The following is a 25,904-nucleotide window of genomic DNA, read 5'->3' on the forward strand; positions in this document are numbered from 1 at the left end:
TCTTCTTTCATGTTTTTATCTCCTTGTCTTTGTGTTAAATTATGGGTGAGTTTGTTGGTTCATGAGTTTTTCTTTTCTCTGACATTTTACCACAAAATTTCAAACGTATGGCTAAGTTGAAAGACCTTTAAAATGAACAACCAATATCTACTACCTACATTCTACCATTAGTATTTTACTATACTTTGTATCTATATATTCATCTTATTTTTGATGTATTTCAAGTAAATTGCTGACATCAGTATCCATTGGGCTTTATTTCAATTTCGCATTTCTAGAAGTTCATTTATTTTCTAATCTGCCTATTCCTAGTAGTGTTTTTTATTTTGATTATGTTCTTTATTTCTTTAAACATTTCCCACATAACCATCTTCTTTATCTTAAAATTCTGGTAAGTTCTTGGATATAAATTGTTTTTTGTTTTTTGCTAAAAATGCTTTGCTTTTGATCTTAATCTATACTCCACTGTGTGTTTGGGAGATATAAAGGAAGAGAGTGAGAGAGAGGAGGCAACTTAGTGGTTTCTGAGAGCACAGTCGTCAAGGTTGTAAAATGGCATCATTATTATTAGTCCTTATACTGTCTACTAGCTATTTAAACGAGAATAGAAATAAAGTTAGAAATTCAGTTTCTCAGTTGCACTAGCCACATATCATGTTCTCAGTAGCCACATGTGTCTAGTGGCTACTGTATTGAGCAGGGCAGATTAGAATAACTTCCATCATTTATATACACAGCATGACTATATTTAAATAAAACTGTAGTTCCAAAAAACAGGCAGCAGCTGGATTTGTTTCATGAGATATAGTTTGCAGATCCCAGCTCTAGGCCTAAACTGTCATGCTTTCCTTTGCAGAGGACTTGCTTTTGCTTGTAGCTTGGTGAGCACCAACCTAGAAGCATACCAGCCCTCCAGGGCTCTCCTCAGGGCAAGAGTCCCAGACTTGTGTCCTAATTTTCCTGCTGTCCCAGGGCTTAGTGTCTGCAAGTACCCTCAGGGCAACGGGGCTGTTAGCAAGTTTTTGCTGTTCTAATCCCATCCTGGTTTTCTCTGGAGGGTAAGGTGGGGAGAGGGTCCATAGAGACCTCTTATTTGCAAATAAAACATTTTGGGTACCAGAGGTAAATGTTCTCTCTTACTTTATTTTCCTTCTCACCTCTGGTGAAACTTGGCAATTATGACTTCTACAGGGGAATTGAATAAAACTTTCAGTCTCTTTAGGAAGTTAAAGCTGTGGGCAGCTTTCTTCATGGTGTTCCAATTCAGCACTGTATCTGATGTCTGGGGATTCCTTCATGGAGTGTTGAGATCTGTAATCACTGGAGGGCAGAGATGAGATCATACAGAGCCTAGATGTGGGCCTTGCCTGTTCTCTCCAAGCTGCCGATGCCAGGATTAGTAGCACTGAAAGCCAAGGTGAGAGGCTTCAGAGAACTCAGATGGGGAAGGGTTAAGAAGGATGGCAAATGATAGATGGATGAGGGGGTCTCTATTGACCCACACGCCACCCTCTGAGAGCTCTGCATCAGGATGGCAGAAGGCCCCTTAAGAGCCTGTTGGGGACCCTGCCATGTGTTCCAAGTGTCATTCATTTTCCTGCTTGCTGACAAGCCATGAGTTGGATTAGCCTTCTCCTCTTATCACCTTCCCAGGTCTGGGTCAGTGAAGGAAATGAGATCTTGGCCCCGAGATCTCTGCCCCTGTGTTCTAGAGCAGAGGCTGGAGATGCTGTAAGATCACTTCCCATCCAGCAGGCACTTGAAAGTGCTTGTTGGCAAGTGGAAGACAAGAGCCGGTCCCTGCCATCAAGAAGTGGAGGGTTAGAGACAAATCAATGACAGCCAAATGTAGCATGACTAATGCCATGTGTGACAACAGTCAGCATACAAGTATTTGCAGGGTACTGAGGGCAATCAGAGAAGGGAGGAATTATGGGGAAGTAGAAGAGAAGCTTCTAGGGCTGGTGACATGAGCTGAGAGCCTTCTGAGAAGCCAGTAGCTCTGTTCCATAAGTGTAACTTAAGGCGAGTCTTATGCTAACTTGGGGTTGAATAGGTGGCATTTATAATGCACTTCTATGACTCAACTGAGTCTTGTACTAACCTGGTTCCTTCATCTTTCTCCTGTCTGTTCCATCCTTCACCCACAGAGGTGAGACAAAACCTCAGGGTAGTGTATATTCCAATCAGAAGGTGCCGTGTGGTTTTGAAGGATCCATTAGAGGAGCTCTCGCTGCCACAGAATCTATCCAGCCACCTGCCAAACATCTGGTACAACTGGGTCATCTGAGATGGGCCGAGAAACATATTGTCATTTATATCCAAGGGTTTGGTGGCCATAAGGACTGTGCCAAGAGCTCATCTTCCATGGGGTTTCCCCGACTGTGGAGAGGAAGGTCTTACATGCATGTGGACACTTGGGAATCAGGTGTTTGCTGCAGGGCCACTGGCTGGCAACGTGGTGCTGCTTTCCAGGAGATTGACCCCAAGACCCACCAGTGCTGCATTCCAAGGCCAGTACTATGCCTTTGCTGAGCCCAAGAGAGAATCCCCCGTGAGCTTTGGTATAAGCAGCTTCTCTCTGCTCTGGCCCCACAGTTTCCATTAGGAACCATCTCAGATCCAAGTGTCGTCCATGTGGGAAACAGAAGGGCAGAGGCTGGGGGGCCCTCTCAAATGGGAAATGAGGAAGCCTCAGAGGATAGAGGGGAGGCCCCCAGCATATGATCCCTCTCTTCCTTCTACCCACTGGAAAAGAAGATCCTTTGTTAATGGATGAAACCTTAGTAGCCCCAAGGCTGCAGCTAAGCAAGACATGGGATGGAGTACAAGGTCTAACAAAAACCCTGCTCGCTACTACTTTCCCCAGACTGAAGGCTAAACCCATGCAGGATGGCTTGGTGAACCATCTGCTGCCAGCCCCTTCAGAATGGCCCTCCATGTCCTCTCTGCTCTTTACACATAAACAGGAGAGAGTGCTGGGGTCCAGAGTTGCCCTTGAAGAGAGGGATGGAAAAGTGGCTCAGACACGGGAAGGGGTGACCAAAAGAGAAAGCCTGGACTCCTCACCTGCCCCATGGGACATCAGTTCTCTCCAAGAGGAGCCTCTGGATTTGGAAAGTGCTCAGGAAGGCAGGATTGAGCACCAGACTGCCCAGAACCCTCCACCTGCTGGCAGCATCTAGGCCAAACTCTTGGGTTTGAAGAGTGAGAGTGCTGAGCACTAGGCTGCTCTCTGGCTTTGGAGCCAACCCACTGGGCCACAGATAATCCCTCAGCAGGTACTGTTGGAGACCATACCCTTGTCCCAGCACCAGAGCTCCAGGAACACCAGGACATGAGACATAAATCCACGGTGCTTCATCTCTCTACTGGGGCACTGAAGATCATGACCATTCATCTCAACCTCAGGTCTCAACCTCAGGTATGGGCAATGGCCAGTGGGAAGGCCTGGACACAAGGAGCTGGCATTCTGTTAAGCATGAATGTGGAAAGGTTACCCAAGTGCATAAGGCTGTTCTTGTGTTGCTATAAAGAAATACATGTCTGGGCACAGTGGCTCACACCTGTAATCCCAGCACTTTGGGAGGCTGAGACAGGAGGATCTTCTGAGAACAGGAGTTCAAGACCAGCCTGGGCAACATAGACTGTCTCTACAAAAAATACAAAAAAGTTAGCCAAGCGTGGTGGCGCATGCCTTTAGTCTCAGTTACTCAGGAGGCTGAGGCAGGAGAGGATCACTTGAGCCCAGAAGTTCAAGGCTGCAGTGAGCTATGATTGTGCCACTGCACTCCAGCCTGGATGACAGAGAGAGACACTGTCTCTTAAAAAACAAACAAAAACACTCCCTGTGCTAAACCTGCATGTGAAAAGTCAGCTTTTTTTCTACAGAGATGAACTAAGAAATTACTTGATGGAAAAGAATCCTGAATTTAAGTAAGCTAAATTAATGAACGCAATAGTCCACAATATAGTTTCCTAACTTTACTGTCTAATCTCAGAATCTTTAAAAACAATGTAACATTTCTTTACCAAGTGGTGTTTAGATTGTTTCCTTCTCCTCCCTTTCAAAACATTCCTAGAAAAGATGCTTGTTTTTTTCTCCTCCCTTCCTAAACATTCCTAGAAAAGATGCTGTGAATGTCACGTATGCTTCCTGGCTACACTCAAGTTCTCAAGGAATGGATGTGCCTGATCCCCTGTCTTACCAGATAAGGGCCCTCACTGAGGATGCTCTAGGAACCCACAAGGTGAAGAAGAGGTGCCCCTTCCTTGAAGGTATGGATAGGTCTCTTGGCTGCTGGTGACCAATGGCACGTGCCACACTTGGATTAGGCATGATTCAGCCAGGATCAAGTTGAACTAGGCAAAGTCTCCCGATGCTAGGCCATGTCATTTCCCATGGAGAGCAGACCCTTTCTCAGTCTGCATCATGGGAATGTTATGCTTGTCCCCCAACCCGAGGAAGAATTGGCTATTAATTCATCCATGTATGCAATATATTGTATTGCATTTTACTATGGGTTAGGCGTTGTTTGGGATACTGGGGATTCAATAGCAAACCTAAAAGGCAAATCCCTTCCCTCGTGTACTTCACAGTCTAATCAGGAGATAGACTGGATAAACTACAGAGTATCTGAGTTGATATGCTCTACGAATAACAATCAGATAAAGGGGATAAATAGGGCTTTGTGTATGCACATGTATGTGATAAGGCTTCAAAAGGTGGTGAAGGAAGGCCTCCTTGAGAAGATGATGAGGGACAGCCATGTAGCCCTCGAGGGAACAGGCTTCTGGATGGTGCTGAGGCCCTGCAGCAGGGTTGTGTGTGGTGTGTTCAAGGAACAGGTGGAGGTCAGCAACAGAGGGGAAGAGCCGCAGAGGAGCCTTTGGGACACCCTGGGAGACTGTCCAGAACAGCCTATTTCTTCTGTCTTTAGATGTGAATGAGTGTGAGACAGGCCTAAAGCTCTGTGGTGATCCTCGCTGCCAAGAGGACTGAAGTCCATGCCCCCACGCAGCCTGGCATGCTGTATGTGCATGCTCCCTGCCCAGGTATCGGTTGCCCAGGCACCCTGCCACTGGCTGTGTTTATCAACTGCTGGGATCTCCTGGAAACCCTGTACCCTGAGCAGGTCAGGGTGGAGCTCTTATTCTGATGCCTTTGGCCACAAATACCAGAGAAAACATTTTCCGAAGGATACGGACAAAGTCCAGGAACTGTTCTAGAACTTGGAACATGTTATAAGGTCGTTTACTATGAGGATGTTCATTGTACTGATTTTTCTTTCGCAACTTTGCCTTTGGAATACTTCCATAGGATGCTATTCCTGACTCTGATCAAAGTAGACGTGAGTAGGAATTAACCTGAACATCCAGTTGTTTCCCCAAGGCTCCTTCGTGACCCTTGCTTTTGTCTTGCTTTTTTTCTTCTTATCAAAGATTATATTGGGCAGGGACTTGCACCGGAAAATCGATGTGAGCTCCTTGTGAGCGGGTCCAGCATAGAGCAGTTGGTAATGAATTAACAGATGCCCTTAGCCTTTTTAAGGACTTACTGCTGGTGATGGTAATTCATTTGGTACAGTTACCTCTGAAATAATGTAACCTGCCTGTGCTGCCACAGGCAGATCAATAGACATGATTTTTATTTCCCATCTTGCTAACTTGCTGTGTGACCTTGGTGCTCAGGTCTTGCATATCCCTGTGAAACAAAGGATTAGACTAGATGTCGAAGGCTTTGTTTAGATCTTTGAATGTTAGATGCTGAAATCCCAGCAAAGATGCCATTTAGCACAATCTTTTTCCACTGAACTCTAAGGGCAGATAGGTAATCTTGCCATGCTATTTGCAAGTTTTTTTCTTGAGGTGGGGGTTTCTTAGTTCGTATATGTCAAGAGAAGATTGAGTTTGGCATAAAATAGAAGCTCAGTATATAGTAATTCAATTTCTTATGGCTAGAAATCTACATGTAACTGACTATTTAAAATATTTCCATGTTTTTTTTCTTCCCCTGCCCTCCCAAGTGTCCAGATAAGACACTTGACAAGAGTTAAGTTGGAACGGGGTCTGTGAGGCGACTAGTCATCTGGAGGTTGCAGTCATCTAGCTTCTGTGGATTTTGCTTTAAAGATAGTTTCTAGTTCTTTGCATCCATATAAGCTATCTGATGGTAGAGTACATTCTGAAATACGACTGGCCCTGTGCTTCTCTGGGTACATGGTCTCAAATGTAACAGAATCTTTTTAAAAATAAACAATTTTTGATATGCATAAAATGAAAAATAATTATCAGCTCTCAGGCAATTTAGATTCAGCATCACAAAGGGATGTTAAGCCTTTTCCAAAGTTAACTCTGTGTGCATGCATAGGGTTCTTGAGGGAGCTATAGAGCAAAAATAGGTGGCGAGCCCTTATATTACCAGGTTCATTTGTTCCAAGTCTGGCTTTGGCTTTTAATCAAATGTTAGCATTTGTTTATTTTCTCAAAAAATACTTACCTATGATGTGCCTGACAATATGCTAGGGATGGGTATAAGAGCATAAATCTCTGAAGGTGCTTTTGAGGGCCCATTAGGAAGGGGCGTGTTACTTAGTTCCCTTTAAAAAAAAAATTCCTTTGTGTTTCAGGAGTTGGATTATCCTTTAACTACCTGGGCCTGCTGATTGGAGTTGCTGTGCTTACTGCAATCTTGCATATGTTAGCATTGGTCTTGTGTGACTCGTAACTAGAACGTACGTGAGGAAGGCAAATTCTCTGGGTCAGAACACAGCATCACTGGAGTTCCCACTTACAGCACCTACTTTTGACCTGAGGAATTTCTTTTTTTTCTCTCTCTGAGACAGCGTCTCGCTCTGTTGCCCAGGCTGGAGTGCAGTGGCAAGACCTCAGCTCACTGCAACCTCCGCCTCCTGGGTTCAAGTGATTCTCCTGCCTCAGCCTTCTGAGTAGCTGGGACTACAGGTGCGCACCACCACACCTGGCTAATTTTTTGTATTTTTAGTAGAGATGGGGTTTCGCCATGTTGGCCAGGCTGGTCTGGAACCCCTGACGTCAGGTGATCCACCTGCCTGGGCCTCCCAAAGTGCTGGGATTCCAGGCATGAGTCAGTATGCCCGGCTGACTTGAGGAACTTCTGTAAGCTCCCTCCCTTCATCTCCTGCCAACCTAAGCTGCATGCCAAGGTTCCAGATGGTGCTCAGGGCAAGAAGGTTCATCAGAGTTAGGAACCACAGGTGTGGAGGGAGCAATCAGAGGCCTGCTGCCTCCCTGATGTCTGTCCATAAAGCAGGGTGGGAGAGAGGACCACCTTGTCTCCTGTTGGAGGTGCCATCAAGTCACATAGATTCTCTGCGAACTTAGGAAGAAGCAGCTTGAGTCCCATCCTGTGCATCATCCTTGTTGTCTGTGATGTAAATTATGCTGGGCTCCTGACTCTTTCCCTGGGAGAAGGCCTGTATGCTGTATGTTCTGCATCAAGACCCAGCCTGTAGTCCCAACAATGGGCTGAGGTAGATCTCTGGTGACTCAGATACTCCAGTGATGAGTGTGGTCTGCAGGAGGTGTCCAGGGGAGCAGGAGGCACACGGCACCAACTTGGAAAGTTAATGAATGAGTTTAGTGATGGACACACAAGGAACTGTTAACATGTTTTAGAAAACTTACTTGGCCTCAGCACTTTCTTCTCCTTTTAGGCTGGGTGCGGGGTGAGACCTCCTCCTCCTTTTTCCTTCACCCTCAGTTGTATTTTATTGGATTACAAGTTTGTATTTATTTTGTATTACAAGATCCTGTCTTCTGTTCCTGTTTTGGCCACTGTCTATGCCAGGCTGCTATTAGAGCCTGACAGCTTCACCCTAAATAAAAGAAAACCTTTTATGTGTAGTTTAAAAAAATAAACAAAAACCTCTGTAGACCTTTTTAAAATCTACCAGCAATGTTTGACTCCTTTACTCTTAAAAGTGGGGCTATTCCCATTCCTCTGTTTTAGGCCTACACTTGTCATTTTGCAGGGGAGACCATTGGAGAGGATGCTAGAGGTCTTAAATATGGTTCTCACCCACGGTTTGCTTGCTTTTATTAGACTGAGCTAAAGGGTGGGGGAATTCACATGCCATGAGAGAATAGATACTTGCCTGTGCTTGCATCTCATGGAGGTAAGAGTGGGAGAAATTTGTAAAGTAGATCAAGAAGAAAAACTTTGAGTTAGGCAGGGTGGGTCCTGAGTTTCTGGAAGCAGGGCCACATTCTCTGCAGTGCCAGGCATGGGCCTGTTTTCTAGAAGGAACTCTTTTACTTAAAGGAAAGCTTCAGGATGAGGGGTGCCTGTAAGCTGGCCTTAGCGTTTTGAGAGATGCAGAGCTAAATGGGATTGGCAGCTCTGATCTTGCTGCAGCAGCCTCCTGGCCCAGCTCCCACATCTTAACCTCCCTGGAGAGCAGCCTAGTCGGCAGAGTGGAGCTGGGGAGAGCTGGATGGGATGAGGTGCAGGACCCTACTGAGAGGAGGGGAATGCAGTGTCTCCACAGACCCAGCTCTGGGGGTGGGAGGAGCAGATTCCATGCCTCCCTCGTGGAAAGCAGAGGCATCAGGCATGGGGTGCTTTTGTGTGAATCGTGGCTGCATGAAGCATGTACTGGCTTCCATGTTGAGCCCTGGTAAAGGTATGAGGCAAACAGTGTGCAGCTCTGTTCCCACTGCTCCCCAGAATGTAAAAGGTGGCACAATATAGCTGCGGTACAGGATGGTAGGGCTGCCCACTGGGATGATCCAGAGAAGTGCTGGGCCATAGTCCCCAGGTGTGGTCTGTCACCAGGCTTTCCATCATACTGTAGGTTTTGAAATCTTTAAGGTCCCGCTCTTAAAATGCAAATACTCCTGTGAGGTTTGAGGTTTTATTATCCTATATCCTAGATTTGCCTTTAATAAAACAAAAAACCCAGCTTTATTTATTTATGTATGTATTTATTTATTTATTTTGAGATGGAGTCTCACTCTGTCGCCCAGGCTGGAGTGCAGTGGCACGATCTCAGCTCACTGCAAGCTCCGCCTCCTGGGTTCACGCCATTCTCCTGCCTCAGCCTCCTGAGTAGCTGGGACTACAGGCACCTGCCACCACGCCTGGATAACTTTTTTGTATTTTTAATGGAGACAGGGTTTCACTGTGTTAGCCCAGGATGGTCTCGATCTCCTGACCTAGTGATTTGCCCGCCTTGGCCTTCCAAAGTGCTGGGATTACAGGCGTGAGCCACTGTGCCCAGCCGAGACCCAGCTTTATTGAAGGTCCAATTTGCATATCATAAAATTCATTTTGAGTTGTGCCACCATCACAATCCAACCTTAAAATGCTATCACTCCAAAGATACTCCTACTTGTAGCATTCCCATTCCCATTCCCACCCTGTCCCTGTCCCAGGCAACCACTAATCTTTCTGTCTCTATGGATTTGCCTCTTGACATTTCATATAAATAATACAATATGTGGTCTTCTGTGTCTTGCTTCTTTTGCTTAGTGTAATGTTCTTGAGACTCCTCCATATTGTAGCATAACAGTAATCTGTTCCTTTATATTGCTGAGTAATATTCCACTGCAAATACCACATTTTCATTCACTGATGGTGAACATTTATTTCTAGGTTTGGGCAGCTATGAATAATGCAGCTATGAACATTCATAGCTTCTGTTCTTATATGCACATATATTTGGAGTATGTGCTTATTTTGGGTAAATTACTTCTAAAAACTGGCCGGGCACAGTGGCTCACGCCTGTAATCCCAGCACTTTGGGAGGCCAAGGCGGGTGGATCACCAGAGGTCAGGAGTTCAAGACCAGCCTGGCCAACATTGTGAAAACCCGTCTTTACTAAAAATACAAAAATTAGCTGGGTGTGGTGGTGGGTGCCTGTAATCCCAGCTACTCGGGAGGCTGAGGCAGGAGAATTGCTTGAACCTGAAAGGCAGAGGTTGCAGTGAGCCGAAATTGCACCACTGCACGCCAGCCTGGCCGACAGAGCAAGACTCCGTCTCAAAAAACCAAACAAACTACCAAACTATTTTCCAAGTCAGTTGTACCATGTTACAATCTCATCAGCAATATATGAAAATTATAGTTCTTCCACACTTTTGACATTTGTTATTGTCTTTTATTATAGCCATCCTAGTGAGTATGAAGTGGTATCTCATTGTGGTTTTAATTTTCATTGCCCTAATGCTAATGATTTTGTGCATTTTCTTTTCATGTGTTTATTGACCATTCATATATCTTTGATAAAATGTCTACGTGGCTGTTCCTTTTTAAAATCCAGAGACAGAGAGATGGTCAATTTCCCTGGGAGGTGTAGAGGTTTATCGGGTTCACTGTTTGATCCCAAGTGCTGAGTACAAGAGTCAGAGAGTAAAGGGTCATGTATTAGCGTCCTGTGGCTGCTGTAACAAATTGCCACAAACTTGGTGGCTGAAAGCAACACACATTTATTCTCTTTCAGTTCTGCAGATCAGAAATCTGAAATCAGTTTCACTGGGCCAAAATTAAGGGGTAAGCAGAGCCTGCAGGGGCTCTACATTTCCTTGCCCTTTCTAGCATCCAGAGCTGCAGTGTTTGCATTCTTTGGCTCTTGGCCTCTTACCCATCTTCAAAGCCAGCAGCATAGCATTTCCAAATCTCTCTCTCTGTCTGCTTCCTTTGTCATATGGCTTTGTTTGTCTTCTGTAGTAAAATCTTCCTCTGCCTCTCTTTTAGAAGGACCCTTGTGATTACATTTAAGATCCATCTGAATAATCCGGGATAATCTCCCCACTCAAGGGCTTTCAGTCACACCAGCAAAGTCCGTTTTGCCATGTAGGGTAATATTCACAGGTTCCAGGGGTTAGGACCTGGCTGTCTTTGGGGGCCATCATTCAGCCCACCCAGTCAGTAACCTGTGAAATGCACGTGGCCCCATCAGCTCATGGTTCGGGGTTGGCTGGTCTTGAGGAAGACATCAGGCTGAAGGAAGTCTTCTGGAGGTAGGCCCTGGAGGGAGACCAGAGCCAGTCATGCTAGAGACCTCTCACCTCTTTCTTCTGACTCATCTCCTTTCTAGAAACTATGATATGAGGCGTTTGATAGCACGTGTGAGCCTGGAGGTGCTGAGGCAGCTAGCACTGTTACCAGGGTGGCGGCGGGGACAGGACCAGAACTTGGGGCCTCGCGCCCAGGTCCTCCCGTCCTTGCCTTCTCCCAGCTCCCCTCCAGGCTAACCACCTCCACGCGGGGGCCGGGTGCTGCTGCTGCCCTGAGAGCTCAGCCCCTTTCCCGGGGCGGGCACCGCTTCCCGGTCCCGGGCCTCTCTGCTCTCCCGAGGCGATAGCCACCCTGCGATCTCTCGCGCGGCCAGCAGGGGCCAGCATCCCCCGCGGAAAGGGTCGCTGGGCTGGGCTGGCCGAGAGCCGGGGATCGGCGACCCCGGGCGCCGCTGCCAAGCCCCCTGCCGTGCGGGCTGCTGCTTCGCCGTCCCAGCCCCGCAGCCTTTTGTGTCTTTCCACTTCTCCCCTGGCCCGCTGCGCTCTCGCTCTAGAGAAGGCAGAGACTGCCTTGGGTGTGGCAGCCAGGAGTGGACGGTTGCGGGCTGGGAGGCTGGCCGGGTTTCCTCCCCGTCGCGGACCTGGAGGAAGGGCTGGGTGCGGCGGGAAGGCCCCGGAGGGAGAGCTGAGCCTGGGTTGGTAGCATGGTGAGGAATAGCGGCCTCAGGGGCAGAGATGTCCGTTTCTTTGTGCACCGAAAGCTCTGAGAAGGACATCCCGATACCAGTGAACTTCTAGATTTGGAATGAGCTTCTTACCGAGCATCTCACATTCCAAAGTGCATCTGATTCGGAAGTCCTCGTGGTTCTACCTTCGGAAGGTGGGGGTGGGGTGGGCTGCCTGGGTGCAGAGGGCTGAGCCAGGCTGGTGGGAACTCCTCAGCGTCCAGCACCTGTGGGGCTGCAGCAAGCTTTTGCTGCTAGGCTCTAAACGAAGCCTGTAATTAAGGCCTTAGTTTAACTGGGTGCGCTCTCACTTTTATCTGTGGCCTGGCCTGAGCGGTTGCCTCCAGCAGCCTCAGCTACCCTCACTGCTTTGCCGCTGAACCCAGGAACGGCTATTCCACTGCAAGGGAGCTAAGACCTTCATTTGTTGCACCAACGTTTTCCTCATGGCTTATGTCTCTAGCCTCAGAGAAATCAGAGATTAGAGCCCAGATCTGGGGTCAGAAAAAGACCCGGGTGTTAGATCTGACTTTGCTACTAGCTGGGTGGCAGAAGATGGGGGAACACTTCGCTCCTTTCTACCTGTTTCCTCCCCTTGTTAAATGCGGAGGCTAATGACACTTACTGCAGATGGGGAAGCTAACAGCACTTACTGCAGAGGGTGTTGTGAGGAATCACTCAGCAAATTCTTGTAAAGGGCCAAGGTTAGAACTCAAGCCTTTTAAAATCCCATCTCTTAGTCTGGGCGGATCCCAGGAAGGTGTCAAGTCCAGCTGATGGGCATAGGTGTGTCCGTGAGGCAAGCCTGCTCTTGATGGAGCACGACAGGAAATGCAGCCTGGCCCAGCTGACAGACCTATCTACAGCGCATGTCCTCACAGGACCAGACCCTTCTGCTCCCCTTGGCTCCAGCTCCTAGATCATTCTCAGCAGTTCATTCCACGTGTAAGTGCACGCCCTCAGTTACTGTAGGAGCCAGACCACGTGGGTTCAATGTCAGCCCAAGATCCACCAGCCATGAGGCTTTGGGAAAGTCACTTCACCTCTGTAGGGACTGATTTCCCCATCTGCAAAATGGGCAGAGCGTGACCCATCTCGAAGCATTGTGGTAACGCATGGGGTGCTGCTGAATGGGACTCATTGCACTCTGCAACCTGGCTCTGGCGATTCAGACCGTGAATGCTTGGATTTTGATGGTAAGGCCAGAAAATGTTTAAAGGAGAGAACCCAGGATAAGTTGGGCCTTCTGGTGAGGTTCTTGCTACTCCTGGACAGCGTGCCCGTGTCTGTAGCAACTCAGGGCGAGGCAATGCTCTGGGGTTCCCAGACATCTGTGAGCGTGACAGCTGGTCCAAAGCTGTCTTGGATGTGTTTGTCCTCTCTAATCAAAAGAGTCCCTCGTGATGCCAAGATGGAACTCTGCAGACAGTTTGAGGAGAAACTAAATTCTGGTTTTGAAGTAAACTTGGCCTCAGTCTTTAAGGCAGATTCACAATCTATTATGAATAAAGCTGCTAGGAACATTTGTGTACGACTTCATATGGACATATGTTTTCACTTCTCTTGGATAAATATCCAGGAGTATAATTTTTGGGTCATGTGGTTTCCTTGCTTGTAGAATTTCTGACTGAAAATTGTAAGATAGTTGGATAATTGTTCCCTGGAGGGAGACATTTCAGATATGACAGGGAGAATGCCACAGGTATTGGGAGTCAGAGGTGGTTTTCATGAATATCAGGCAGCATTTCTGTAGTTGAGGGGTCTGCCTTCCACCTTGACTCAGCTCTTGAGGGCAGCAGCTGCAGCTGCAAAGAGGCAGGCCTTGTTGTGACCCTCAGGGGCCCCTTACTTACGTCACTGAAATCCACATCACTTGTTTCTTCGGAATGTCCTGATTATCAGCATGGTTCAAGGAATAGTTGAGGCCTTTGTCCTCAGGTTGGCCTGGGTCATGGTGACTTGCTGCTCGGGCAGGGCCCATGTTTCTGACCTCCTGACCAAGTTTCTTGACCAACTGATTTGATAGAGCATCAGAATTTTCATTAACTCACTTTCCCGGCTGTCACAACAAGGGATTTTACAAGAAGCTTAACCAGGGCTAATGCTTTTAATCACTACAAACTAACTTATTTTACACACTAACTTATTTTACAAACAAACTGTAATACTTAATTTTCATGTAGTCTGCATAAGCTCCTAACCTGAGAGAAAAAGAGAATGCATACAATCAACCCAAATGCCATTGTATATTGTTTTGAAATATTGTTTTGCTATGATCATTTTAAATGAATTTATATTTATTCTGTAAAAATAGAGATGGGGACTTGCTATGTTGCCCAGGCTGGAGTATGGTTGCTGTTCACAGGTGTGATCATAGCACACTGTAGCCTCTAACTCCTGGACTCAGCTGATCCTCCCACCTTGGCCTCCAAGTAGTTGGGACTGCAGGTGGGCACCACCGTGCCCCACTCATAATCATTTTTGAATACTAGATTTTTCTCAGGTCCTGATGAAATGGTTTTCCTTATGCAAGCAAAGTAAGGTAAACGTTTCATAAAACCAGAACATGATGAAAATAGGGGAGAGTGGGGCTCATGCCTGTTACTGTGAGTAACTGAATAGTGCCTCTGTCTTCTACATCAGCCTGTAGATAGTTACATATAATTAATCAGGCCAAGGTACTGTGTACTCTGGTCTCAGGAAAAGCATCTACCAGCGCTGCTGTGACCTTATTTAATCCTCACAACAAACCAATGGGTAGGAATGACTGCTGCACACATTTTACAGATGATGGAATTGAGGCTCCATGAGTTGATCAGTTTTCCCTCCTCCCTTTGCAGCAGTTGAGTAGCTGAGATGAGCCATCATAGGGAGCCATGGAGCGCCATGCCCACCCAAGCGTGGCTGCTGGGTCTTTGTCTCAGTCATTGAGCTTCTAGTTTTCTTTCTGCCACGGTGCTCCCACGTTTTTGTCATAAATGTCTCAGGGCCATTAGTCACTCTCACCCACAAACCTTTTACTCCCTTTTTAAAATTCAACATTTCACCATTATGTTCCCTCTCCTGGAAGCCAGTTATCAGAGCTGGGCATCCACCTGAATAGCAGACCATATTTGTATTTTTAAAAAAATTTTTATCCACTGTATGTATAAAAGGTTGCTCAGAGGCTATCAGATAAACTTAAGAACAGGCATTTTAGTCCTGAAGGTCGCATTTTTTCCCAGTCATTATTTTTATAAATAGTGAAATAAACTCTGAGATAAAGTCCTTTTAATATGGGCTGCACATGTCCCCTCCTTAGCACTTTTGTCTCCAGACAAAACCTTTTGAACTGGAACCCTTGCCTCATTCAATGCTATTTTCGATTTGATGAACACCTGCTGTGTGCCAGGCACTCCGGAGAACAAAGGTGGAACAGCCCCTACTTCTGTCTAGTGCAGGAGATGGACATTCAAATGGCTGGCTAACAAGGTTGTAGAGGAAAAAGCAGGTGATTGTGGCTGGGGAGATGAGGACAGATTTTGGAGGAAGGAACCCTTGAAAGATGGGGATTTGGAAGGCCCATACCCAGTGAGACAGACTGGGACCCAGAGCTATAACTTACAGAGTGTGTGTGCCTTCCCACAGAGGAACTGAGTCCTGGGCTCTCTGGCCAGCCTCTTGGGCTCCTGTGACGTTTCTTCAACTTGTCCATCTTCTGGAATTTGAGAAAACACAAAGTGCTTTTAGGGTTCAGGTCCTGAACTCTGCTCCCTGATTACCAATATGTTCAAATGAGCTTTGGCTTGGTTGGGATTTAACGTAAACAGGCCAGGCCAAGGAACGGGGGTTGGAGATGAGTGGGACCTCAAAGACCTAAACAGATAGTGCAGCTTGCCCTCAGCCGCAGGCTCTGCACCTCCAGTTCAGTCCCCCCAGTCTTGACTGCCAGGGCTGGTTTTCTGGTTCCCTGCTAGTGTCCTGCTTGGCCATTCCTGCCTGGTCAGTGGAGGATGCCCAGTCTCTTCTCCCACTGGCCCATCCCACACTGACTGGCAGGGGGTACCAGGAAAATAGCTGTCTTCCTCTCCTTGGCCCAAGGTACCTGGTTTTTTGCAGGGAAACTTAAGAGACCCCGGAGATGGCCAAGTTCCTGTTGGTTAAAATGTGGCCCAGGACTAAGGATGGCCCAGAACCCTCTGGGGGCGTCTATTAACAAGGCATGTCCCTGAGCCTCATTCCAGACCCCCTGAACCTGATCTCAGGTGGGCCTGGAATTTACCATCTCATTAGCTGTCCCGGTGATTCAGACTGAAAACCTCGGAAGCAGCCCCACACCTTCATTTTGCATCCAGTGAGTAAACCAGAGCCTGACAGGTGAAGATACTGCCTGTAATGGCCGAGCTGGGCTGAGAGCCCAGGATCACTGCTAATCCAGAGTTAGTCACTCCACTCAACACTGCTGCCCTGCTCTCTTTCCTCTGACTGTGCAGACCAAAGTCTAGGTCCTGGGCATTCGGCCCTGGCAGTCAGGCCAGTGGGCTGGCATTACTGTAGAAGAGGTGAATTCAGGAATTGGAAACTGAAGTCTGCAGCTGGCCCCTGGAGGCTGTTTCTCAGTGTTTTCAGCCTGTGGCTTCCTTGTGAACAATTCTCTCCTCCATCCAGTACCCCTCCGGTAGGCCTAGCTGTCACCCTTAGCCCTGGTCCCAGCCCGTGCCCCAGTCCTGCACTCAAGTGCATCTCCATAAACACCCACATCACACTCTCTGACCTCCCTTTGCCGCCATAGGGGTCTCAGGCCACCCCACCCTCCACTCCCTGCATCAAAAAGTAAGTAAAGATGAATGAGGAACATGTTTGAGCACAGGAAGAGCCCTGAAACCAGCACTGCAGGACCCAAGTTCCAGCCTTGTGTGACTTTGAACAAGTCACTGACCCTCTCTGGACTGTGCACTTGTCCCTTTGGCTTCCCATTCTGGCTTGGTCTACCCCACCCATAGGCCGCAGGGAAGACAGATGAGAAGAAAAATCCACCCCTCCCCACTGGGCTAAGGTGACCTCTGCTTTTGCTTACAATTTCATTCCCAGTACAGTGCTACCCCATGGAAGGTACTCAGTATTTGAATTATAGATAAATGTGAATTTAGAGACACAGAAACACTGGTAATCAGGGGAAGCACTTGAGCTGAAAAGGCCCCTCGAGGCTACATTTCCTACCAATGAGTTGCAGTGAACTCCTTCCCTGAATACTTTCAATAAACCCTACTTTGCACTTGAGGGTCTGATTATAATCAATAAAGCCCTAGAACGTGGTCTTGGCCTCCTCACCTGTAAAATGATAAACTAGATAAGATGGTCCCTCCTCCTTTCTCTACCTTTTCTCTGAAACTTTCTCCCACCCATTCCCACTCGTTATCCAGCTGGTATCTGCCCTCCTGAGCCCTCTGCCCCTCTGCAGAGGCCCTGCCCACATTTTTCCTCTGTCCGGACTTGGGTATGTCCCCACCTCTTTCCTTGTGACCTTGTGGGCTGGGAAAAAGGAAAGAAGCTGGATATTCTTTAGTTTCTACCTCCTCCTCTCAACACAGGTGGCCTTTTCAATCCTTCCAGCTACCAGTCAGTCCACAAGCACTTATGGGACACCAGACCTTGCCTGGAGCAGCCTTGGGGAATCAAATAGGAGCCAGTCCCTGCCCTCCAGAAACTGTGTGTCTGGGGGAGAAGATCACACACAGGAAAATCAAGTGGTGACAAGAGGTGCCATGAGACAGTATATAGTTCATTTCCCCACCGCAAGAGTAAAGGGCTTAGGGTCAGAGGCTTTGGTGCCTGAGTTCTGACTCTGCCAATTATTAGCATTGGGACCTCAGGTAAGTTACAGATCTGAGCTGTAGTATCTTGTCTATAAAGTGGGGAAAACAGGGACCCTCGTAAAATACAAAATCACCATTAGACCAACATTATAGTAATAACTACTGCAGGCAAGATCTGCTGGTGGATCTAAATTCAGTGGACAGGAGTTAGAGAAGAAATAGGCTATTCATAGTCTCAAAGTATCTCCCTCAGGGTGCTTACCAGTTATGAAAAGAAAAACAATAATTTTACTATGGAGAATCCTACCAGATACCACCTTAATCAAGTGATCAAGGTTGACACAACCTGTAGTAAGACAAATCAGCATGAGGTACCTGCTAGTGATAGGGACAGGAGGCAGAGAAATTCTAGGCAGAAAAGAGCGGGTCCCAGCGAAAACCCCACCCTCAAGCTGAAAAGCCTGAAACCATGGCCCAAAGTGAGAATTTCTATTCCTGTTTTCCCACTCAAATGTTGCGTTTTCCTAAATCACCCATGGCCCTGCCCCACCCCATCCTGTGCCTATAAAAACTCCAGACTCAGCTGGCAGAGAGGAGAAGCAGCGGGACATCAGGACTATGGCTGGACGTCAGAGAGAAGCAGCTTAACTTCAGAGGTGCAGCTTGATGGTGTAACTTAGGAGAAGAATCTGACTGGAGACGGCCAGACTTCAGAAGAAGATGACCTACCCCCCCATCCCCTTTTCAGCTTCCCTTCCCGCTGAGAGCCACTTTTATTGGCAATAAAATCCTCCACATTTACCACCTTTCAATGTGTTCATGTGACTTCATTATTCCTGGACACCGGACAAGAGCTCAGGGGCCACAGGTGTGGATATGAAAGGCTGCCACACTGGCCCTTTGCCCTCACTGGTGGAGGGCAGCTGCCCCATGCGACGAGGTAAAGGGCCCACTGAGCTGTTAAAACTTAAGCTGTCTGTGGACAGCAGAGCTAAAAGAGCACTGTAACACGCCCTGTGGGGCTTTTGGGGGTCACAGCCCCCATCTGGATGCTGCTGCAGGGCCCTCCTACTGGCACCAAAGCAGCCGGCAGTTCCAGCACTCGTGCACTCCAGTTCCCACCTCATTCACTTGTGTGCTACCTCCTGTGAGGAGTTGAGCGCAGCGGGCTGAGTAAACAAGGCACCCCTGTCACGAGTCCCACAGAGGGGTCAGGGAAGTATCCTGCTTCATCAGTATGACATACCGAGAAAGACAAAACTTCACTTCTGTGGTATTCTTGCCAAAAGTGCATAACCTCCATCTAACTGTAACTGCCCAATGGGTTCACCTTGCCTGCTGCCTAGACAGAGCCGATTTATCAAGACAGGGAAATTGCAACAGAGAAAGTGTAATTCACGTACAGCCGGCTGTGTGGGAGACTGGAGTTTTATTATTATTCAAATCCGTCTCCCGGAGCATTCAGGGATCGGAGTTTTTAAGGATAATTTGGTGGACAGGGGTCAGTGAGTCAGGAGTGTTAATTGGTTGGGCCAGAGATGAAATCATAGGGAGTTGAAGCTATCTTCTTGTGCTGAGTCAGTTCCTGAGTGGGGTAGATCAAGTGAGGCAGTTTATTGATCTGGGTGGTGCCAGCTGATCCATCAAGGGCAGGGTCTGCAAATATCTCAAGCGCTGATCTTGGGTTTTACAATAGATATGTTATCCCTATGAACAATTTGGGGAGGGTCAGAATCTTGTAGCCTCCAGCTGAATGACTCTTAAGCCATAATTTCTAATCTTTTGGCTAATTTGTTAGTCCTACAAGGGCAGTCTAGTCCCCAGGCAGGGAGGGGATTTGTTTTGGGAAAGGGCTGTTATGGGTCTTTGTTTCAGAGTTAAACTATAAACTAAGTTCCTCCCAAAGTCGGTGAGGCCTACAATTAGGAATGAACAAGGACAGCTTGGAAGTGAGAAGCAAGATGGAGTTGGTTAGGTCAGATCTCTTTCACCGCCTCAGTTATAATTTTGCAATGGCAGTTTCATAATCATGAGAAAAACATCAGAAATTTGTGGAGGTATGAGTTAATAGTATTGTACCAATATTAATTTCCTGGTGTTGATAATTGTGCTATATTTGTGTAAGATGTTAACATTAGGGGAATGGTACACAGAACTCTGTACTATTTTTCCAACTTTTCTGTAAGTCTAAAACTTCAAAATGAAAAGTTTCTTAAAAAGTGACTCAGCAACCGGGTACAGTAGCTCAGGCCTGTAATCCTAGCACTTTGGGAGGCTGAGACAGGAGGATCGCTTGAGCTCAGGATGGGCAGCATAGTGAGACCTTGTCTATATTAAAAAAAAAAAAGACTCAGCATTTTGTGAGGAGTAAAAGAGATGACACATATAAATAAGGTGCTTAGCACTGACACAGTAAGTGCTCAAGAAGTTTGTTTTAAAGCCCCATAAATGCTCAAGAAGTTTGACCCTCTATTATTTTTGTTATTTGACTTGAAAAATAGTAAGGGTGGCAGGTAAAGTAAAGGGCAATCCATTCAAAAACAGGAGGACTAGCAACAGCAGATACTTAGATGTGGAAAGGTACCCAGTACGTTTAGGTGGGTAGGGGGCGTAAGTTGACCAGACAGGCAAAAGCAGAAGTCTTTTAATTTTTTTAAAATAGGGAAATAATGGGACATGAGGCAGGAAAGGCCTCAAATGCCAAACTGGAGAGCCAGTTTTAGTTGGAGAAAGGCAGTAGGAAGTACCTTTGTTCAAAAGGGACAACAGAACTCAAGAAGTTCCTGCCTTTCAGAAAGGCCCAAATCAGGAGGGGTCCCCACTACCCTGCAGAGCTCCCTTGTCATTGATAAAGGACAAAGGATCTGAGAGAGAGGAAACCTTCTGAAAAGTTTTCTAGGAGTTTGGAATGTAAAGTTCTTCACCAATGAGTGAAGGATAAACTCCAGCCAGTAGGGTTTGATTCTGCAGGGTGGTAGTGGTGGGGGAGGGGTTCTGTGGCTGGTGCTCTGGGGTGGGAGGCAGTGAAAGCGGAACCTTCCTGCAGGGGCCCCTGGAAGCTGAGCATCCTTGGTGGAAATCCAAGCTCAGCCTGCTTCCTGCCTGCTGGTCCCAGACGCTGAAGCGCAAAAGGGAGAAAATGGATGTTGGGAAACAGTCCAGGAACATTCAACGTCGGCTGGGAAGTTAAACCAAATGCGATGTGAGTGTGACTTGCTATGTTCAGAGAGGTGGGAGGCCTACTTGGCCACATGAGGAGACAGAAAATGAGGCTAAGTTCAAGCTCACCATATGGGGGAGAGGGACTGGTCCTGTCTGGAACTTTCTGGATGTGCAGATGCCACCCTCCCTGAGCTGGCACACTTGGCCCTGGAAGCCTTAGGAAGCAGCTTATTTGAGGGTTCCACCTTTCCAGGCAGAATAGACCAACTGGAGGACCTGGGACTGCAGCCTGGCAGGGCTTTGCGCTGACCCCGCCCATCATCTCCCCTCTGAGAGGGGGAGCTACAGCAGTAGAAGGTCAAAGCAAGTGGGACCTGAATTTGACTTGCTATGTTTGGTGGAAGGTGTGGGTGGCTCAACTGCTCAGCTGCATGCGGGGCCATGGAGAGTGTTTCGTCCAACATTCTCAGTCCTGGCTGCATATTGGCATCACCTGGGGACTCCTTTTTCGAAACACTAATTCCATGGCCCCGAGCCCTTAGACATTCCATTTTATTTAATTTATTTATTTATTTGAGATGGAGTCTCGCTCTGTTGCCCAGGTTAATAGGTTCCAGGTGAGACCCAGGAATCAGTGGTTTGGTTTTTCTTTTTTTTAAGCTTTTTATTCTGAAAAACAGGGAATGGAATGACCCCACCCTCTTACCCCCAATTTACGTATTATCCCATTTAAACAATTTCAACACTTAGCCAGTCCTGTTGCAGCATTTCCCCCCGCCCACGCCTCCCCACCCCTGCACCTGCCCCTTGTTTACTTTGAAGCTATCACAGACATTCCCTGCCCATGATTGCAGGATCCCCAGGTGGTTCTCTTGTGCAGACAGGATTGAGACCCACGGATCTAGTCCAATCCCTTCATTGTGTAGATAAGCAAACTGCAGCCCAGAAAGGAGAAAGGACTTGCGAAAGTCCCACAAAAAGTCCCTTCCTACTTTAACATTCGATGAACATGTGAACTTGGAAGCACTATAGAGACTTCTGAAGTGTCTTTGTCAAAACACTTCTGGGAAAGTTCACCCAGGAGCCAAGGCCTCATAGAGATAGAGTGGGCTCTGCCTCAGGTGCCAACTGAGCACTTGTCTCTTCTGGTTCAGTCCTGCTTTGTTCTGCTTAGTCTCATTGAAAGACTGAGCAGTAATGACCCTGTTTGAATCCTCCCAAACTGCGTGTCCCTTTGGTTGAAAGTCAGCGGCTCTGTTTTCTGGCTGCAGGGCCAGGTGGAGCTGTGATGATTCAGGGCTGGGAAAGTCAGGGTTTCTGGCCTAAGGAGCTCCTCTAAGCTCCAGAGACATGGAGGCCAAGTAGTCTCAGAGGTTCACACAGTCTGCAAAGGCCAGGTGGCAGGGCCTGGGGTGGTGGGTGAGCTTCCCTGCAGGAGCATGTGGGCATGCCATCTCTCCTTTTTTTTTTTTTTTTTTCTAATCAGAAAACAGATGCGAATTGTGAAACCAAGTGTTTGTTGACTCAGGACTCAGGACGTCTTTCAGAGGAAGCAAATCCTCGGGGTACTCAGCATGCCCTCTGCTGGGTCTGGTTAGGAAGGCTTGGGGTTGAGGAGTTGTTAGTGGTATAACAGTAGCCCCAGAGTTTGATGTGGCTTTGGCAAATGTGCAGGGGGCTGGAGTGATTCCCTTTCCCTCCTCTAGGAAAGCCCCTTTCCACTTCACCCCTGCTGGGTGAGCCCTGTCCTGGTGCTCTTCCACGTGACTCTACAGAGGCAGCCAGCAGCCTTACTGGCTGGCTCTTAAAGAGGCTGCGGTTTGGCCCAGGGCTGAGCAAAGAGAGAAGGCCGTGTGTTCTCTAGCCTCAGGAGAGCTGGGGGCAGGGTATGCCAGCACATCCCTGGACTAGCCTACACCCTGTCAGGTTTTCAAAGCATGGAAAAGACCCTAAAAATTAGAAGATTGGGACCCCACATCTTCGTTTGACATTTAGCCTGAAGTCCAAGGGACAGTCATCTTTGGCCCCTTAAAATATCAGTGACTTCCAGTGGAATTACAGTTGGGGTCCTGACTTGAGCTGTTGATGTTTTTGTCACATCTACGTTTAACCTCTAGATTGCTAGATAGAACTGTGTGTATGTGGGTGCATGTGGGTGTTGGGGGAGAGGGTTGTCACAGTGGACTGAGTGTTCACCATAGAGAGAACTTGGAGACACAGGGGAGAACCAAAGAGTAAAGTCCCAGACTGCAAGACCCTTATGGTTCAGCTGATAAGCAGACAGTCCCATATATGTGCAAGAAACCAAGGATGCTTGTATTTGTGTTTGCCAGCAAGGCCGATTCAGGGGGCTGAAGCCCATCAAGTGTGGCTGTCAGAGAACTGGGGGATGGCTCAGAGGTGGGAGGGGACTAGCTAGAGGCATGGTAGCTAGAGCTAGCAGAGTTTGACAGAGCCAAGTGTTGTCCTTGGAACAAGAACCAAAGGTAACCTAGAAGCCCACATACCCCATTTCTGAATGCAGACCATGGGGTCAATTAGGGTCTATGTCATGTCAGGCCCAGCAATGGCAGCCACCCACCTCTTTTACCCTCTGTCATTGCATCCCCAGATGGCCAAGCCAAACAATACCTTTACTGTTCCAGGAAATGTACAAATGCATTTGATGATATTTCAGGTACACATTTAATTTTTAGTTAGCATAAATGTGTACACTATACAGGCAACACTTAGTACAGAAGAAGGTACATACCTAAATTGGCTAGTGGCATATTCCAACCTCAGGTTCAGGCCAAATAGAACTGGTTGGGCTTGTGGAGATTGCTAACCTCTTCCCTCAAAGAGGACCCAGGATGGGATCAGGGTGGGATGGGACATGTTATGCAAGGCTGGGAGGTCACCTGACCCCGTCACATGTGTGATCTTGGGGAAGTACAAACTTTGCTGAGACTTTTTACCTTCATTTTCAAACTGCATGGGCTCATTTAGCTTCTTGCCAAGATCTTTTCAGCTAATTCTTTTCTTTTTTCTTTAATTAAAAATCCAGAGATTGAATTGCCCTAGAAAATGCAAACATTCAATGGTGTTGCCAAATTAGGATTTCTTCTCCTCACTTTCAGAGCTCTTTCCAAGGAATTTTATTTAAAGAAAACAAACATTTACAGTTGTTGGTTCATCAGTCTGCCTGTTGCCTGTTGCCAGGTGTTGGGAGGCAAACAGCAGTTTGAAGACTATCTGGCTGTTCTTCTGAGTATAGTTGCTGAGGTCAGGAAGATAGAAGGACAGAAGGAGGCACATTCTTGGCTCCTGAGCATAGGAAAGTGTGCAAGGAGGCCCAGGTGGCTTTTCTGTTGGCTGACACTTTGCAGTCTTTGAGAAGACGCAGTGTCTGGTGCTCTAGAAGCAGGCTGTCTCCTGGCCATTGGCTGCCTGGGCAGCCTGGGTCCTGCTGGCTGGCTGCAAGTTTGTCTCAGGTTGTCTGATCTCTTTCCTTTCCGCAGTCCCTGAGAGAGTCCATCCCCACTCCAGTCCCAGGGCCTCTGCCTTTGTATCCCCATGTTCCCCGGGCCTTGATCCACATGTCCAGCATGTCCTCTCATTTTCCTGGCCCCTAAAGAAAAGTTCACCCCTGAGCCAGCAAGCTGCTCCTTCCTTCAGGTCTTGGAGCTCTAAGAAGACACCCATTAGTTGGTTTGTTTCCCTTTGGCATAATTACATCTTGATTAGTCTGCTTCCTCCACTACACTGATTAATCCTTGGCTGGGGGCACCTTTCCTCTGTATTATGAGCACTTCTCTCTCAATCTCTCCACCCCTAGGGTATAATTCCAAGGTCCTAAAGTTCCTCTTCCAAATCACAGGATCCTGGGGCTGGCTCTGGAGAGAGTTAAATGGGACATTGCACTCAAAGACAAATCTACTGTAAGGTTCTGATCTGAATCCCGAAATCTACATGTTCCCATGCAGAGTTCTCAATTCCTGCTTCCTCAATTCCCCTGCCTGGTGTGGCTGCCCTCAGAGGGATAAACATTCATGAGCAGATTTGGGCTCATGCCACAGCCTGTAGTATTTCAGGTGAGTGCAGTGTCGATAGATGAACATTTTCACAAGTGCAGCTGCCTTCAGCTGGATGACAACCAGCCCTCACCTCCTTGGCCAGAGGCCCAGGCACACAGGGTCCTCAGTCACTCACTGTGGCTGGCCCACCACTGGGGGTGGGGTCCACCTTGAAGCAGCCTGCACAATCCCACCAGCTTCTCTTCACCTTCTTGCATTCTCCCAGCAAGACCACAGCCCCTCACAAAGAGCTCCCAAAGAACGGTCCAGGGGAAAATTCAGCTGTCTTTATTATCTCCTGTTCTCCAAATGGCTCATGGGAAAGAGATCAGGTCAACTTCATTTTCTCTCAGGAGGAACACTGCAACCAACACCCTTATTTAACTTAACCACTCCAGTTCCAAGGGCTGCTTACTTGAGCCTGTCTTGAGAACAGAGCCTTTGGAGCAAGCAAAGCCTGTTTGCAAACAGTGAGATGTAGGTCCTCTCCTGGGGGCTACAGGCTGCTGCTTCTCAAAAAGAGGCCACACCAAGGGAATGTGAGCAATGGAGAGGAAGCTCAGCCTCTCTCCAGATGCAGGGTCTGGACTGCGGGTTCCAGGTAGTGCCCTTGGGCCCCGTGACCTGAGGAGCTGAGAGAGGCCCACGAGCAATCAGCAAGTCACTAGTCTTTATTAGGCACTTAATGCGTGTGGAGGGTTGGCAGAAAGGCTGTAGGTAGGGAAGCTAAAATGTCCTGGCCCGTCTTGGGAAGCTTAGAACCAATTGGGGAAGTAAGACCAACACAGAGAGCAGTTAGAGTACATAAAGGCCACTAGCTCACTCTGTGACTCTGGGCAATGCTCTTAACCTCTCAGAGGCTCCATTAACTCGTCTGTAAGTTGGGGATAATATTAACAATAGCCAAGCCAAGGCTGGACCAATCAGGTGAATTTTTTGAGCTTCCTTCTGTTTCTAAGACTGATGACTCTGTGAGATCTACACTGTACTTCAAACTTCTTGTTCAAAGGAGTTCAAAGAACGGTAGCACTTGTGGGCTAAAATGGTCAGAGATTGCTTCCTAGATTGGGAATTCCTTGCAGGTAGGGCTGGGGAGTTTAATCTTTGTGTCTCAATCCCTAGTCCACTCCTGGAATTCAGCAGGTGCTCAATAAATGCACCTATCCTG

General features: G+C 47.6%; 1 protein-coding gene and 1 long non-coding RNA gene across 5 annotated transcripts in view, besides 1 other annotated feature; one reads left to right on the forward strand and one right to left on the reverse strand.

The window, feature by feature from the left end:
- The window catches only part of LOC105374764 (uncharacterized), a 48,875-nt gene extending 30,550 nt beyond the window's left edge, over positions 1 to 18,325 (forward strand). Inside the window, exons 4-6 of one of the 2 annotated variants that reach the window (XR_002959390.2) lie at positions 4,127 to 4,278; positions 17,295 to 17,576; positions 18,097 to 18,325. This is a non-coding gene — a long non-coding RNA (uncharacterized LOC105374764). Of the gene's footprint in view, positions 1 to 3,778; positions 3,937 to 4,126; positions 4,279 to 17,294 lie in introns of those variants that run through there. The other variant, XR_001739095.1, reaches the window with a different exon arrangement.
- TMEM17 (transmembrane protein 17) overlaps positions 7,789 to 25,904 on the reverse strand; it is a 52,665-nt gene continuing 34,549 nt past the window's right edge. Inside the window, exons 1-4 of one of the 3 annotated variants that reach the window (XM_047443708.1) lie at positions 16,042 to 17,478; positions 15,329 to 15,421; positions 13,578 to 13,738; positions 10,119 to 11,009 (exon numbers count right to left, since the gene is read on the reverse strand). In XM_047443708.1, coding sequence (XP_047299664.1) covers positions 10,943 to 11,009; positions 13,578 to 13,738; positions 15,329 to 15,421; positions 16,042 to 16,047 — 327 coding nt within the window. In that variant the 5' untranslated portion in view covers positions 16,048 to 17,478 and the 3' untranslated portion in view covers positions 10,119 to 10,942. Of the gene's footprint in view, positions 7,857 to 10,118; positions 11,010 to 13,577; positions 13,739 to 15,328; positions 15,422 to 16,041; positions 17,479 to 25,904 lie in introns of those variants that run through there. The other 2 variants (XM_024452749.2, XM_011532694.3) reach the window with 2 other exon arrangements.
- Positions 11,087 to 11,646: a silencer, noted in NCBI's record as "silent region_11537". NCBI's record gives its function as "represses an Ori minimal core promoter by ATAC-STARR-seq in GM12878 lymphoblastoid cells {active_cell/tissue: GM12878}" and the evidence as "EXISTENCE:reporter gene assay evidence [ECO:0000049][PMID:35858748]".

The sequence above is a fragment of the Homo sapiens genome, chromosome 2, assembly GCF_000001405.40.
Source record: "Homo sapiens chromosome 2, GRCh38.p14 Primary Assembly".
Classification (NCBI taxonomy): Eukaryota; Metazoa; Chordata; class Mammalia; order Primates; family Hominidae; genus Homo; species Homo sapiens.